This window comes from Homo sapiens, chromosome 10, assembly GCF_000001405.40.
Source record: "Homo sapiens chromosome 10, GRCh38.p14 Primary Assembly".
In the NCBI taxonomy this organism is placed as follows: Eukaryota; Metazoa; Chordata; class Mammalia; order Primates; family Hominidae; genus Homo; species Homo sapiens.
The window spans coordinates 37,853,138-37,868,761 of NC_000010.11; the positions used below are offsets into that span (position 1 = coordinate 37,853,138).

Sequence of the window (15,624 nt, forward strand, 5' to 3'; positions counted from 1 at the left end):
CCAGGCCAAGGCTGAGAATTTTTAAAATGACAAGGATATCATACCTCAGAACCAACCCCTGCCAAAATACTACAGGATAAATATAGAGAAAACCAAACCAAGTTATATTAAGTAACAATTGCTGAAAACCAAAAGAAAAGAGAAAATCTCATAACCAACCAGAGGAAAAAAGATCAATTGCCTTCAAGGGGGAGGATGATTTAAGACAAAAACAACAACAATCCAGAAGTCATCGGAATGGTTTTTTGTTTTCTTTTCGAGACGGAGTCTCGCTCTGTCGCCCAGGCTGGAATGTGGTGGCGCAATCTCCGCTCACTGCAAGCTCTTCCTCCCAGGTTCACTCCATTCTCCTGCCTCAGCCTCCCGAGTAGCTGGGACTACAGGCGCCTGCCACCATGCCCGGCTAATTTTTTTGTACTTTTAGTAGAGACGGGGTTTCTCCATGTTGGTCAGGCTGGTCGCGAACTCCCGACCTCAGGTAATCCACCCACCTCGGCCTCCCAAAGTGCTGGGATTACAGGCAGGAGCCACGGTGCCCGGCCACCGGAATGGTATTTTTAAAGTGCTAAAAAGAAAAGAAAAAAAAAGCTCTCACTCCAGAATTCTGTCTTTAGTGAAAATATCCTTCAAAATGAAGAAACACAGACATCTTTAAACAAAAAAAAATGACGAATCTGTCACCAAAAGATCTGCACAAGAAACAATAAAACTTCTTTGGGGTAAAGGCAAATAACTGTAGATGAAGCATGATATTGCAAAAGGGAAGAAAAAGCACAGTAAAGGGCAATTATTTCAGTAAATACGAAAGCCTACCCACTCTCTAAAGTCGTAATACTAAAGATACCTTGTGGGGTTCAGAACACAAGGAGAAGAAAGCATCAAAACAACAGCACACATCGGGGGGTGGAGTAAATGGAATGATACTGTAGTAATTTAATTAAGTTTCTACATACAAGTAAACTCCAAATGGATTAAAGATTTAAACATAAAATGCATAAAAGTATTAGAATACATGGGCAGATTCTTTATAATCAAGTGGGAAGGACTTTCTAACTATGTCTCCAAATGCTATCAGTCCAAAACCATAAGGAAAAGATTAATAAACTGGACAACAAAAATAACCAAATATTTCTGCATAGGGAAAAACACCATGAACAATTATCAAAAGACAAATGATATACCAAAAAATAATGGCTTGCAACTCATATAATACACAAGGGTAAAAGACACTGGGGGGGAAAAAAGACCAGACAACCCAAAAGAAAAATAGGCAAAAGATACTAACAGTTAAGTTCATAGAAAAATAAATATAAGACACCCTTAGACACACGAAAACGTATTCAACCTCACTCAGTGAAGAAAATCGCAGATGCAAACTATATGAAATACCACTTTTTACCTATCGGTTGCCCCAAATCCAAAAGTTGAACCACATATTCTATGGGAGGAGCTGTGAAGAAATAAGCATTCCCATGCATTGCCAATGGGAAAACAAAATAATACTATCTCTAGGACAGGCATTCCCACTAAGCTGATCAAGTTCTGGGAATTCATCTAATATATAAACATATACACACAAAATTATAAATGTACAAGGTTATTCATTACCACATGGTTTGTCATAGCAAACAGCTGGAAGTAGTTTAATGAACTATGGACTTGAATTACTAGGCAATTGTGACAAAGAGAGAAAATGCTATTCATGTTCTGTCAGAGAAACATCTGTATGCTGTTAAGTGAAAAAGGAATAATGGAAAATAGTGTGTAAGTCAACCATCAGAATCAGCTTAAGCTGGAGGTTTATCAGAACTTCAGAATAAAGGACCCCATCCACAGCTACTAAATCAGAACCTGCATGTTAAAAAGATGCCAGGAATGCACAATCACATATAAGTTTGATAAGCCCTAGAGATAACAGATTCCTTTTTAAGTAAACTGAGGAAGCAAATAAGAATATACATACATATTTTCTTTAAACTGGATAAAGAAACACTGGCAAAGTAAACCAAAAACTAGAAAAAAAATAGACATCTTTGGTAGGTTGACCATACATTCCAGTAAGTCTGGGACTGTCCCAATATATGCCAGTTGTCTCAGCATAATTATTTATAGAACCTCTTTCACTCTCAGTGAAAATGTCTCGGTTTTAATGATTAAATGTCACCCTACCTGGAGAAACTGCATGAACAGAGGAAGGGAGTGTGAATATATATGTACATCTTTTGTTATCACTTATACTTTTAAAAAAGTAAAAGTAATGTATTATTACATTAATGTATTATTAATTCAAAAGCACTTTATTAAGGAAAAAAAATGAAACCAGTCAGGAAAAACAGACCGAGAAGAACCTAAGTAGGCTAAGGATGGAAATGCACGCATAAGCAATGCCTGGAGCAAAAAGAAAAGATGCCTTCATGAGGACTAGGGAGGGAATCAAAGTTAGGAAAGGACAGCTCAGAGGGTGGCATTACAGACACCAACAGAGGAGACTCTCCAAACAAAGACCATGGTTAACAATATATGCAGCAGACCAGGCAAGTAATGCAAAGGCAAAAACATGCACTAGCCTTGACTATGATTTGGTGGCCTTTGCCAGAACTGATTCAGGTGAGTTTAGGTGAGGGAATAAGGTTGCATTCATCAGATTGAAACATAAATGAGAAACACAGAAACAAGTCGGAACTGTCAGTGATTCAACCTAGAAATAAGAACGAGCTGACACAAACAGTTAGGGAAAACTGTTTTGAGGACATGCAGTCCCTCCATTCCTCCACATCGTCAAGGTTTTATTCCTGGATCAAACAGGACCATCAAACCTCAGCGTTTGTTCTCCTGAAAAGCATATGCACTGAGTTCTGCTCTGTAACTGTGTTCTTTGTTTCTACAAAGAAATACTTATAGACAATTTACTGCATTTATTTCAGAATTGTTACTAGAACAATTAGAGATAATATTACAATAACTTGGATAATTCTGCAAAATTAAAAATCCTGCATCTAATTTGCCAACTGCACTATTTTGGATTTGCTACTTCAGTTTTATTTCCCTTAATGTCAATTTTTGCCTATTTCTATTTTTCCATTTTCAAAACATAAACCCTTATAAACTTCAGAAATCCATTTTTAAACAAACTGGGAATAAAGAAACAAGAATCTCACCTGGGATTTGTTCATTTTCCGCTCTTAGTGGAGGAAGGAGAGCTGAAGGATTAGAAAGGAAGAATGTCAGGAGAGCCTTCGCCGGCCTTGCAGTTCGGAGATTCACCTGCCTATACAGGTCCACACACAAGATACTTACGTGTCCATGTGTGGCTCCGATATATGCTGAGCTCAGACATGACACTTTTCACTGAGTGAATGTAAATATTTCTTATTGATTTATTACCAATTTAGGTTCTGTGACACAGAAAAATTAAAAACATGAAAAGATGAGTTTAACAAGTTAACAGTAATCTGAAGGAAAAAACACTATGGGTTTGTCAAAATTCCTTGTAGGGAAAAAAAAAAACTGAGGCCATATTGTTTATCTGTTTACCTGTTAACACCATTAATGCCCTGAGGTTAGATAATGCAAAAGACCTCTAAAAAAAGGGATAGGATGTTAAATGCAAGTTTAAAAATGTTTGTTCTAACTTGCTAACAATTCCTCAAAAGGATCTTTTAATGAGAAACTGTGATATAGAGTAACAAAATGGGCAGCAGTGGCTCGGGAAACTGCAGACTTGACTTCTAATCTCAGTTCTGCCTCTAAGGAATGACAAGATCTGAACTACTCACCTCCTCAAACTCAATTTTGTTTTTCCATCTTTCAAATAAGGTCAAAACAGATAACCCAAGTATGACCTGACTGCACTACCATCCGGCGGGGATATCAGGCCAAGAGAGGAGGAAGCTCAGCAGCTCATCTGGATGTGCCCGGTGTTCGCGGAGGGGTGATAACAGCATTTCTTTCGCTGTGGCCGTGAGCCTTTCACCCGTCCCTGCCCTCAGACTCTCCAGAGGTGACGTTCCTGTTAGCCTGCGCGCCCACCCCTCAGCTCCAGCTCACCTCTCTCTTCTTAAATTTGTCCCAGACCTTGCACCAGCACACAGACTCCGACGGCTTCAGGATACTGTGCCATGATTACACATAATACATAAGCGAACGCGAAACGTGTAAATAATTACTTGGGATAGGAGGGCGGTCAGAGCCAGCAGGGGCCCTGGTGGTCAGCTAGGCCAGCCCCTTCGCTCCTGCACTCCACGGGCAGAGAGGCCCTTGGGGCCGGTGCAGGAGCCGTCTCCCTCGGGCTCTCCCAGGGAACGCACACCCAATAAATACAGCACCTAAACAATGAAAGTGCTCAAAACAACCCCAGGCGGCAAGTATTCCTAATATCCGTAATTTACAGAGAGGAAAACCGAGTCTCCCGTGGATAATTGTGTCTAATTCATTTGTCGCGGACCTGGCGCAGTCGCTCTCCCCCGCAGCCCCGCCTCCTCCCCGCGGGCTCAGGGCACAAAAAGCGCACACGCACACATCAAACGCCATGCGCACGCGCACAACAAACGTCACACGCTACGCACGCGCGTGCTGTCCCCTCCCCGCAGCCAGTTCCCTCCCCTTCGGGCCAGTGCGCATTGCCTACCCCGTGCTACAGGACTTCGCTGAGCGCCAGGCGCAGGGACTGGACGCATACGGACCCCCGGGAGCCCCGGAACTCGCGTTCCCACGCCAGACCTCATCCCCTTCTGACAGAGACGCCCTCGTCCCACCGTCGCCGCAGGCGCCAGGGGTCCCTCCCCACCGCCGAGGTCTAGCCGCCGCCCGCCCGCCTTCAGGGCAGCGCGGGGACCCCCTGGCCCTCGCCCAGTGCTCCGGGGCTCACCCGCCGCTCCTCGCCGCCTCCGGAGGCGAGGGATTGTTTCCCACAAGGGACTGGAGTCCAGGGAAGGACTCGCCTGGAGCGGGAGGCGGGGATGCACATGCGCAGAGGGAGAGGCCGAGCGCCCGAGTTAGGCTGGTGGATGCGATGCGGGGCTTGGAAGCGGCGCTAGACGGTGCCTGTCAGCTCTGGCCGCAACCCTCAGTTGTAAAATGAGGCTGATAGTGCCTACCTAGCAGGGGTTTTATGAGAATTGGAGGCGCTTACGTTGTAAAAGCATTTAAACCGGTGTCTGACACATAAATTGTTCAGTATATTTCTCACAATTATATATCATGCTGGTCATCATAAGGCTCTCCTGCAAAACAGCCTTGTATAGTGGGTTGAGAGATTACTGTCTCAGTTACCCACTCCTGCTTGGAACCAGGATTCTGTCAGTGTCCCCAGAGGTTGTGGATCAAATCAATGTGCCTGTTAGACACAAGCCAAGAGAAGGAAAGGTGTGCTTGAATTCATTCACGATCATGCATGGTAACGTTTAACTGAAAGACTGGAAGAGAAAACTAAAATCTGTGACCAGTATGGTTATTCTCTGGAATAAGGAAAAACAGAAGCTAGCAATTCAAGACCCAAACATAAAATTGTTTATATGTTTAAAAAAAAAAAAGCCGTTTGAGTAACAAATTTGAAGAAGAAAGCACGCACTCATTTCCCAAAACCAACCATACTTTACCCAGAACTACACTACACGTACATTCTTTTACGTGCACATCTGGCATTTTCAGCACACTATGAGCATGTGCGTGTGTTACAACTTTTCATTTAAAAAATCAACTCCTGGGTCATTGTCCACTTTTTTAAACTTTTCATTTGCTCATAATTTCAGATTTACAGAAGAGTTGCAAAATAGTTCCTATATGCCTTTCACCCAGATTCCACTAGTGTTAGTATTTTACATGACCATGGTATATTTATCAAAACTAAGAAAATAACATAGGTACAAGTACTATTAACTGAACTGCAGAGTTTATTCAGACTTAAGCAGTTCTTCCACTAATGCCCTTTTTCTGTTCCAGCAACCAATCAAGGATATTGTCACCGGGGGTCCTTGCTCCCAGAGCTCCCAAGATGGTGGTGGGCTGCTTCCGAGATGGGGGCAAGCCTCATGTTCTCTGACCTGGGGTTCTTGGCCTCATGGATTACAAGGAATGGAATTTTGGGCTATGTGGTGAGTGTTATAGCTCAATTAGAAGCCGTGGGTCACGGAAGAGAACTGTGGAACCCAGTGACTAGTGTTCAGCTCGATTAGGACCAACCTGGGACTTAGCTGTGCAGGAACAATGGCAAGCCTTTAGCCCAACTTGGGAGCAGCAATGGGCACCTCGCTGGATCAGGAGCACAGCGGACACCCTGCCAGATCCGGAGGGATGGAAGTCAGCGGCGGGTCTGCGAAGGCCGCAAACAGCAGCGGTGGACAGCGAGCGAAAGCTCAGCTCAAGCCGTAACAAACACGGACCAGAAGAGAGTGCAGTTGCAAGATTTAATAGAATGAAAACACAGCTCCCATGCAAAGGGAGGGGACCCAAAGTGGGTAGCTGTTGCCGGCTCCAATGCCTGGGTTTCTATCCCGATCATTGTCCCTCCCGCTGTGCTCTTAGGCAATAGATGATTGGCTATTTCTTTACCTACTGTTTTTGCCTAATTAGCATTTTAGTTAGTTCTCTTTACTACCTGATTGGTCGGATGTGAGCTAAGTGCAAGCCCCTTGTTTAAATGTGGATGCAGTCAACTTCTCAGCTAAGCTTAGGGATTCTTAGTCGGCCTAGGAAATCCAGCTAGTCCTGTCTCTCAGTATCACAGTACATTTACTTGTCATGTCTTAGCCTTGGCCAGTTTGTAATAGTTTCTTGCTCCTACCTTGTCTTTCATGACCTTGCTATGAAGATGAAAGCACGCTCTCTTGACTTCAGTCCTCCCACCTTGGCTTCCCAAAGTGCTTGGGATTACAGGCATGAGCAACCACACCCAGCCTATAGTTTAACTTTAAAACAAGAACGATAATGATCCCTTCCTGAAACTAACCCCCTCCTTGTTTGGGGACAAAAACCGTTTTTGTAAAACTAGTGGAAGTCCACAAGTTTAGAATTTTGGTAGGAACCTGAATTCTGTAAGATGCAGGCATAAACTCTAACCAGTTTTTGCTTTTATAATCTGCCTTTTTGTAACTGCTTACTACTCCAGAGTCACATAGCCAGTGGTCACAAGATTTATAACATCTCCAATTGTCACTATAGATAATGTCACTATTGTAAAACCTAAAACTAGTGTTTGAGTTATTTTTCAGACTTTACATTCTGATGGACCAACTGGTGCCACTGGGACCAGTAACCCATAGCAAAAAATGGACTCAGTTGATCCTGTGACCCCCTTCAAGAACCGATTCAACACAAGAAGACAGTTTCAACAGCCCTATGATTTCATCCCTGACCCAGCCAATCACCATTCCCCATTCTCTAGCCTCCTGATGGGCAGGAGGCTAGAGAGGTTCAAAGTTTTTCATCCTTGAAAGACTGTAGCCTCCAAATTCTCAGGAAGGCAGATTTGAGAATTATCTCTTATACTTGCTTGGCCACCCTGCAATTATTAAACTCTTTTTCTGCTGCAATCCTGTCGTTCTCAGTTTATTGGCTTTTTTCTAGGCAGCAGCCAAGAAGAACCCACATGGTAACATTCTCCTGATTAGACTGAGGTTGTGAGTTTTTAGGAAGCACCCCACAAACAGGTTGTGGCTTTCTCATAGTGTGATATCAGATGGCATGATATCAACATGACTTTTTACTGGTTAATTGACCATGATTACATGTATTAAATTAACTGAAATTTGTCCTGAGGCTGCCTCCCTACCTTTAGGGCCGATGTAAGGACTGCAACCTACCTTGGTATGTAAACAAACAAAGCATAGCTTGTTAAACTTTTATAGCTGGCTGAGTCAGCCAGTTACAGAAGCTGAGCTAAAGCCAGTTACAGGCTGCCAACTAATCAGACCATTTCCAAATAAGGCCAAAGTTGAGCTGTAACCAGTCAAGCTGTTTCTGTAGAGCACTTCTGTTTTCTGTCTGTAAATACTCCCTGCCCACTTTATAGAATTCTCTGAACCTCTTCTAGTTCTGAGTATTGTCTGATTCAAGAATCTTTCTTTGCTGAAATGAACTCGGCTAAACTTAATTTTCTAAAATTTGTCTTTTAACACTTGGTTAAGGTGGTGTCTGATAGGTTTCTCCCTATTTTTCCCTTTCCAGTCTATATACAGAAGTGGGTCTACATGTCCAGCCCACACTCAAGGGGAAAGGAAATAAGCTCCATTTTAAATTTGTGGTTATATTTTTAAATTACCACACTGATTAGTAAATTCAGGGAGAGATTCTTTGAGACTATGCAAATACCCTATTTCTACTTTTCTACTGATTTTAGTTATCATTGGTGGATCTTGGCTGCAACCATTACTACTGTGGTGTTCCAAATGGTGATTTGTTGTGTGAACTCTGAAAACTTGAGACAGGTCTCAGTTATTAGAAAGTTTGTTTGCGGCCGGGCGCTATGGCTCACGCCTGTAATCCCAGCACTTTGGGAAGCCAAGGCGGGTGGATCATGAGGTCAGGAGTTCAAGACCAGCCTGACACTCTGTCTTAAAAAAAAAAAAGAAAGTTTGTTTTGCCAAGGTTGAGGATGCAGGCCTGTGACACAGCCTCAGAAGGTCCTGACATGTGCCCAAGATGGTCGGAGCACAGCTTGGTTTTATACATTTCAAGGAAACATGAGACATCAATTAACATATGTAAAATGAACATTGGTTCTGTCCAAAAAGGCGGCAAAAGCGGGACAACTGAAAGCAGGGAGGGTGCTTCCACGTCAAAGGTAGGTAAAAGACAAATGGTTGCATTTTGTTGTCGTTGTTGTTATTGTTGTTGTTGTTGAGACAGAATCTCACTGTCATCACCCAGGCTAGAGTGCAGTGGCGCAACCTCGTCCTACTGCAAACCTCCGCCTCCCGGGTTCAAGCTGTTCTCCTGCCTCAGCCTCGTGAGTAGCTGGGATTACAGGCACCTGCGACCATGCCTGGCTAATTTTTGTACTTTTAGTAGGGACGGAATTTCACCATATTGGCCAGGCTGGTCTCAAACTCCTGACCTCAGGTGATCCACCCGCCTCAGCCTCCCAAAGTACTGGGATTACAGGTGTGAGCCACTGCACCCAACCTTCATTCCCTTTTTTTCTCTACACAGTATCTCCTCACAGAGCAAGAAGTTTCAATTTTAATAAAGTCCAATTTAGTAATTTTTTTTATAAATTGTGATGTTTGTATACAATTTAAAAACTCTTTGCCTAATCAAGGCCACAAAGACTTTCTCCTACATATTTATCTATAAGTTGTAGAATTTTAAGTGTATTTAAGCCTATAATCCATTTTGAGATAATTTTTTACGACATTGAAATATGTCAATATTCTTGTTTGCTTGTTTCTTTGCATGTGTATTTTTCTTTTCTTTCTTTCTTTTTTTTTTTTTTTTTTTCTGAGACAGAGTTTCACTCTTGTCACCCAGGAGTGCAGTGGTGCGATCTCGGCTCACTGCAACCTCCACCTCCCGGGTTTAAGCGATTCTCCTGTCTCAGCCTCCGGAGTAGCTGGGATTACAGGCGCATGCCACCACACCCAGCTAAGTTTTGTATTTTTGGTAGAGACGGGGTTTCACCATTTTGGCCAGGCTTATCTTGAACCCCTGACCTCATGATCCGCCTGCCTCGGCCTCCCAAAGTGCTGGGATTACAGGCATGAGCCACCGCGCCCAGCCTGCATATGTATGTTTAAATGTTCCAGTACCATTTGTTAAAAAGACTATCCTTTCTCTACTGAATTGTCTTTGCACCTGTGTCAAAAATCAAATGACCACATTTGTGCGGGTTTATTCCTGTGCTTTCTATTTATTCCGTTGATCTATGTGCTACAGTTTGGATGTGTTCTCCAAAGCTCATGTGTTGGAAACTTCATCTCCAATGCAACAGTATTGAGAGATGGGACCTATTATAGATAATTAGAGGCAGGGCCCTCATGACTGGATTAAGACCATTAACTTGGTAGTAGGTTCCTTTCAAAAAGATGAGTTCAGCCTCCTTTCCTGTCTCACCATGTGCTTATTCTGCAATGTTATGTTGCAGCAAGAAGGCCCTCACAAGATGCAGCCCCTTGATCTTGGACTTCCCAGTATCCAGAACCATGAGCCACATAAATTTCTGTTCATTATAAATTACCCAGTGATGTAGTTTGGATATTTGTCCCCACCCAAATCTCACATTGAAATATAATCCCCATTGTTGGAGGTGGGTCCTGGTGGGATATGTTGGGGTCATGGGGGGCGGACCTCTCATGGTTTGGTGCTGTTCTTGCAATAATGAGTGAGCTCTCATGACATCCGGCTGTGTAAGAGTGTGTGGTACCTCTCCCTCAACTCTCTCTCTTTTGCTCCTGCTTTCACCATGTGACATGCCTATTCCCACTTCACCTTCTGCCATGATTGTAAGTTTCCTGAGATTTCCTTAGAAGCAGATGCAGGTACTATGCTTCCTGTAAAGCCCTGGAGAACTGTGGGCCAATGAAATCTCTTTTCTTATAAATTATCCAGTCTCAGGTATTTATGTATTGCAATGCAAGAACAGTGCAATACACCAAGTCTGTGGTATTATGTTATAGAAGTATGAAATGTACTAAGACAGAATATTTGGTGCTAGAGAGTGGGGTGTTGCTATAACAAATACCAAAATATGTGGAAGCAGCTTCGGAAGTGGGTAGTGGGTAGACAGAAGAATTGGCAGAGAGGTTAGAAAAGTCTATGTTGCTATGAAACGAACATTAAGGGTAATTCTGGTGAGGGCGCAGAATGTAAGAATAGATACACAGAAAGTCTGAGTCTTCCTAGAGATTACTTAAATGTTCATGACCAGAATGCTGTTAGAAATATGGATGGTAAAGGCCTTTATGATGAGGTATCAGACAGTAATGAAGAATATCTTATTAGAAACTGGAGCAAAGGCTATCCTGTTACAAAGTGGCAAAGAATTTGACTGAATTGTGTTTGTGCCTAAGGCCTTTATGAAAGGCAGAATTTTAGAGTAATAAACTAGGATATCTGGTGGAAGAAATTTCTTTTTTTTCTGGAGTTGGAGTTTTGCTCTTGTTGCCCAGGCTGGAGTACAGTGGCATGATATTGGCTCACTGCAACCTCCGTTTCCCATGTTCAAGTGATTCTCCTCCCTCAGCTTCCCAAGTAGCTGGGATTACAGGCAGCCGCCACCATACCTGGCTAATTTTTTGTATTTTTAGTAGAAACGGGGTTTCGCCATGTTGGCCAGGCTGGCCAGGCTGGTCTCGAACTCCTGAACTTAAAATTTCTAAGCAAAGTCTCAAAGGAGCTTCATGGCTACTTTTTTTTTTTTTTGACATGGAGTCTCGCTCTGCCCCCTAGGCTGGAATGCAGTGGTGTAATATCGGCTCACTGCAACCTCCACCTCCTGGGTTCAAGCGATTCTCCTGCCTCAGCCTACCAAGTAGCTGGGATTACAGGTGTGCACCATCATGTCTGGCTAATTTTTGTATTTTTAGTAGAGACGGGGTTTCACCATGTTGGTCAGGCTGGCCTTGAACTCCTGACTTCAGGTGATCCGCCCACCTCGGCCTCCCAAAGTGCTGGGATTACAGGCATGAGCCACCACACCTAGTCTTTTTTTTTTCTTTTTTTTTTTTTTGAGACAGAGTCTCGCTCTGTCACCCAGGCTGGAGTGCAATGGCGCGATCTTGGCTCACTGCAACCTCCACCTCCCAGGTTCAAGCAATTTTCCTGCCTCAGCCTCCCAAGTAGCTGGGATTACAGGCACACACCATAACACCTGGCTAATTTTTTGTATTTTTAGTAGAGACGGGGTTTCACCATGTTGGCCAGTCTAGTCTAGAACTCCTGACCTCATGATCGGCCCACCTCAGCCTCCCAAAGTGCTGGGATTACAGGTGTGAGCCACTGCACCCAGCCTGCCTTACATATTCTTGTTTGAACTTACAATTTTGATTTTAAAACATGCTGTGGAAAACCACCCGCAACTGTGAGTTAGTACATCCACATCCATACTTTTAATGGTGATCTACTGCTCTATCATAATTTGTCTTTGCATTGCTTTCAATTGTTTGTTGTTATGAACTCATTTGCAAGGTATATGTGATGGTTAATTTTATGTATTAATTTCGTTAGACTACAGTGTTCAGATAGTTGGTCAACATTAGTCTGGATGTTTCTGTGAAGGTGTTTTTGGATAAAATTAACATTTAAATTGGTGAACGTTGAATAGAAAAGATTAACAAAGACTGACCTCCCCTAAGCAAGAGAGCATTCTGCCAGTGGACTGCACGGTGACTCAGACTGCAACTCTTCCCTGCTGGCCTACCCTGCAGATTTTTGAACCAAGGAAGCCTTCATATTTATGTAAGCCTTTTCTCTGACAACTGACTAATGTATAGAATCACTTGACAATTATTTTATTGGGATTATTTTAACTGTAAGATTGCTAAAGAATATTCTCATTTTGAAGTATGACACCAAGAAGCTTCTAGAAAGTTTACACAACTTAATACAATTTGATAGAAGTAAACATTTTTTCCCACATCTACATCAAGCTTGAATATTTCCTAGTATTTAAATTAAGCTTTTCATATAACTTTTAAAATGATTTCCAGTCTTAGATGTCATAATGGTATATTATGTGATATTTTAAATATCTTCATTTCTTTTATTTTTCGCAATATACTTTTGACTGGGAATATGGTTTGGATCTGTGTCCCCACCAAATCTCCTGTTGAATTGTAACCCCGAATGTTGGAAGTGGGGCCTATTGGGAAGTGATTGGATCATGGTGAGGGAAGAGAGAGAGAGACCCTCTCATATTGTTTTATATTGTTTTATACTCAGTACCTGTTTTAAGAAAAAAACAAGGAAGTGAAACCAAAGGCAGGCGGCCCGGCGCCAGGCACCAGACCCAAAACCAGACCTGAAACCAGGCCTGGGCCTGCCTGGCCTAAACCAAGTAGTTAAAAATCAACTCATGACTTAGCAACCGATGTTATCCATAGATTCCAGACATTGTGTGGAAGAACACTGTGAAACTCCCTGCTCTGTTCTGTTTCACTCTGACTACCGGTGCATGAAGCCCCTGTCACGTACCCCCTAGATTGCTCAATCACGACCCTTTCATGTGAAATAAGACATCTTGAGGAACAAGATCCATGTGGAAAAGAATCACTCCAAATCGGAGTTTCTGAGCAGAGGCAATAGCTCCCAGAAAGGAGCAGATACTAGATTTGCACACAAGGCTCAGAATAAGTAAGATTTGGATGATGTTGCCACATCCAGAAGACAGGCCACAGAGAAGGTCTGCACCAGATTTCAAAAGAGAGTAGGAAAGTGGGCTGAGAGGAATGAAGGAGGGTTAGGCCATGCAGGAAATATAGCTTCACTGGAGGAGTTTGGGAGATGTGCTGTGGGTAAAGTTGTTTTAGAGCTAGAGCTGAGCATATTCTGTCTTCACCAATCCCAGTATAGCCCCCACTCTTTTTTCACTCCCTCTTCCCAGATCCCAAGATCTTTGCACTCCATGAATCTGGCATCTAAAGATATGCTGATGAATTCCTTTCTTCTGACATTGTACGACAGTAGTACAAGAAAGGTTTTCTGTTTGTCTTGTTTGAGCTTGGGAAAAATTGGCCCTGAGAGTGTAAGTGAATTTCCCTGGCTTTGTGTTAGTGGCAGAGCTGAGAGTAGACGTTGAGTCTCCTCACACCCAGGCCGGTGCTAATCACATTATCACTGTTAAAACAGACATCTTTAAAAGGCAGTCTTTTGAGAAACTACATATACTGTAGAAAAACAGCTTAAGTGACCTTACCTTAAAGTGCCTCCAATCCTTCTTTCATAGCTTTGGTTGAGTTCTTTTAACTTAAGGAGTAAAACGAGGAAAAAAAATCCGTGTTCGATGAAACTTCTGATGAAGGCTTACATAGCTTTACTGCATTTAGTGTGTTGTGATTTGTTTAATCATTTTTGTTATAATTGTTTTATTTCTTTGAGAACACAAAGTGGTACACATGTTTTAAAAAATCAGCCGAAAACAGTTATATCCACTCAGTAAAAAAAAAAAAGGACACATCCAAGCTCCATGTGATCATGTAACTGTCACCAATATACACGTGGGTGCATCTTGATGGGTTTCTTCCTGCCTCTTCTCCAGGTTGAAAGGGATGTTCTCCCACAGAGAGACGTTTTACCAACCCCCCTACCCCCCGCCCAGTGATGTTTGCAGTTTTTTAAGTAGGCAAATCCAAAGCATTTCATATTTCTAGTGACTTGCTTCATTTTTTTTTATCCCAGGTAAACCTTCAGAGATTTCTACATTATTCCAGGATCAGCATAAAATGAAGAAATCCTATGTGAGTTGATGAAGTAATTCTGTACTTTGCTTTACAGTGGATCTTAGCAGGTTGACCCTTATACTCAAATTGGAAAAGTCGAAATAGATACAATGAACTTCAAAGAAACAGGGTTAACACAATGATTCTCAAATGTCAGTGTGCATAAAAGTAACCTGGAAAGTTTATTAAAACAGAACAGGGCCTGAGAATTTTCATTTTTAACAAGATTACAGGCGATGATGCTAGGGTTCAGGTCTATAGGCCAATAGCATTGGAATAGCAGATCACAAGGGCAAAGTTGGCATATATATGTCACATATATATGTGTATGTATATATGTGTATATATACACCTATCTGTGTGTATATTGTGTATATATATGCAATATATATATACACATACACAGGTATTGATATCTGTATATATGTGTATATATCTATATATGTGTATATATTGATATATATACACACACACATCATGTGGAGTTAGTTATGAGATTTGAATTGCAAATATTTCTGACCTTTCTGGTAACTATGGCAAAGAGAGATGATCTGTTAATGGCTTTCATTGCTGATGAGAATGATGCTACCTGGTTCCTTTTGGTACATATGTGAAGACTGATATTAAAGCTGAAAAAATATTTTTTTTTGCTTTTTTTTTTTTCCTTTTTTTTTGAGACAGAGTCTCGCTCTGTCACCCAGGCTGGAGTGCAGTGGCGCGATCACAGCTCACTGCAACCTCTGTCTCCAGGGTTCAAGCGATTCTCCTGCCTCAGCCTGCTGAGTAACTGGGACGACAGGTGAGTGCCACAGTGCCTGGCTGATTTTTTGTATTTTTAGAAGAGACGGGGTTTCACCATGCTGGCCAGGCTGGTCTTGAGCTCCTGACCTCGTGCTCTGCCCACCTCGGCCTCCCAAAGTGCTGGGATTACAGGTGTGAGCCACCGTGCCTGGCCTTTCTTTTGCTTTTTATACAATGATGGACAGCCTTCTGGTGGCAACCATGAAATAAACACCTGTAATTATTCTTTAGTGAAAGCAAAAAGCAAGGTACTCAGCCACACTGAATTAATGAAGTTTTTTAGGGACCATGTTACTAGAGACCATGTAAATGGCTTTCAGTTAGTCTTGTTTTTTTTTTTTGTTTTTTTTTTCTGGATAAAACTTTAAACATATAGAGAATAAATTGATGGTATGTCTTTAAAATAACTTTCCAAAATTCTTAAGTCGCTTAATCTGTAGAATATTCAGTTAAG

The 15,624-nt window shown here is 42.2% G+C and overlaps 1 protein-coding gene and 1 long non-coding RNA gene across 72 annotated transcripts in view, besides 4 other annotated features; one reads left to right on the forward strand and one right to left on the reverse strand.

Annotated features, from left to right (window-relative positions):
* ZNF248 (zinc finger protein 248) overlaps window positions 1–4,966 on the reverse strand; it is a 99,566-nt gene extending 94,600 nt beyond the window's left edge. For 13 of the 70 annotated variants that reach the window (NR_148004.2, NR_147998.2, NR_148006.2 and 10 more), the window contains exons 1-2: window positions 4,048–4,473; window positions 3,159–3,200 (exon numbers count right to left, since the gene is read on the reverse strand). Coding sequence is in view for 29 of the 70 variants with exons in the window: in NM_001352476.2 (NP_001339405.1) it covers window positions 3,159–3,173 (15 nt within the window). In the remaining 41 variants the exon portion in view is untranslated. Of the gene's footprint in view, window positions 1–159; window positions 566–3,158 lie in introns of all 70 variants that reach the window. The other 57 variants (XR_001747156.2, NR_148007.2, NR_148000.2 and 54 more) reach the window with 23 other exon arrangements.
* Window positions 3,966–4,025: an enhancer, noted in NCBI's record as "active region_3270". NCBI's record gives its function as "activates an Ori minimal core promoter by ATAC-STARR-seq in GM12878 lymphoblastoid cells {active_cell/tissue: GM12878}" and the evidence as "EXISTENCE:reporter gene assay evidence [ECO:0000049][PMID:35858748]".
* Window positions 4,343–4,719: a silencer, noted in NCBI's record as "fragment chr10:38146408-38146784 (GRCh37/hg19 assembly coordinates)". NCBI's record gives its function as "represses an EF-1alpha promoter that drives an FKBP-Casp9 reporter gene in an ReSE screen in phorbol 12-myristate 13-acetate-treated (for megakaryocytic differentiation) K562 erythroleukemia cells {active_cell/tissue: K562(+PMA)}" and the evidence as "EXISTENCE:reporter gene assay evidence [ECO:0000049][PMID:32094911]".
* Window positions 4,343–4,965: a biological region, named in NCBI's record as "ReSE screen-validated silencer GRCh37_chr10:38146408-38146784".
* Window positions 4,416–4,965: a silencer, noted in NCBI's record as "silent region_2309". NCBI's record gives its function as "represses an Ori minimal core promoter by ATAC-STARR-seq in GM12878 lymphoblastoid cells {active_cell/tissue: GM12878}" and the evidence as "EXISTENCE:reporter gene assay evidence [ECO:0000049][PMID:35858748]".
* On the forward strand, window positions 4,612–7,529 carry ZNF248-AS1 (ZNF248 antisense RNA 1). 2 transcript variants are annotated; one of them, NR_186560.1, is made up of 2 exons: window positions 4,612–5,395; window positions 5,941–7,529. It is a non-coding gene; the product is annotated as a ZNF248 antisense RNA 1 (long non-coding RNA). The 2 variants fall into 2 exon arrangements; NR_186559.1 differs by having other exon boundaries at window positions 4,612–5,364.
* The last annotated feature ends 8,095 nt before the right edge of the window (window positions 7,530–15,624 follow it).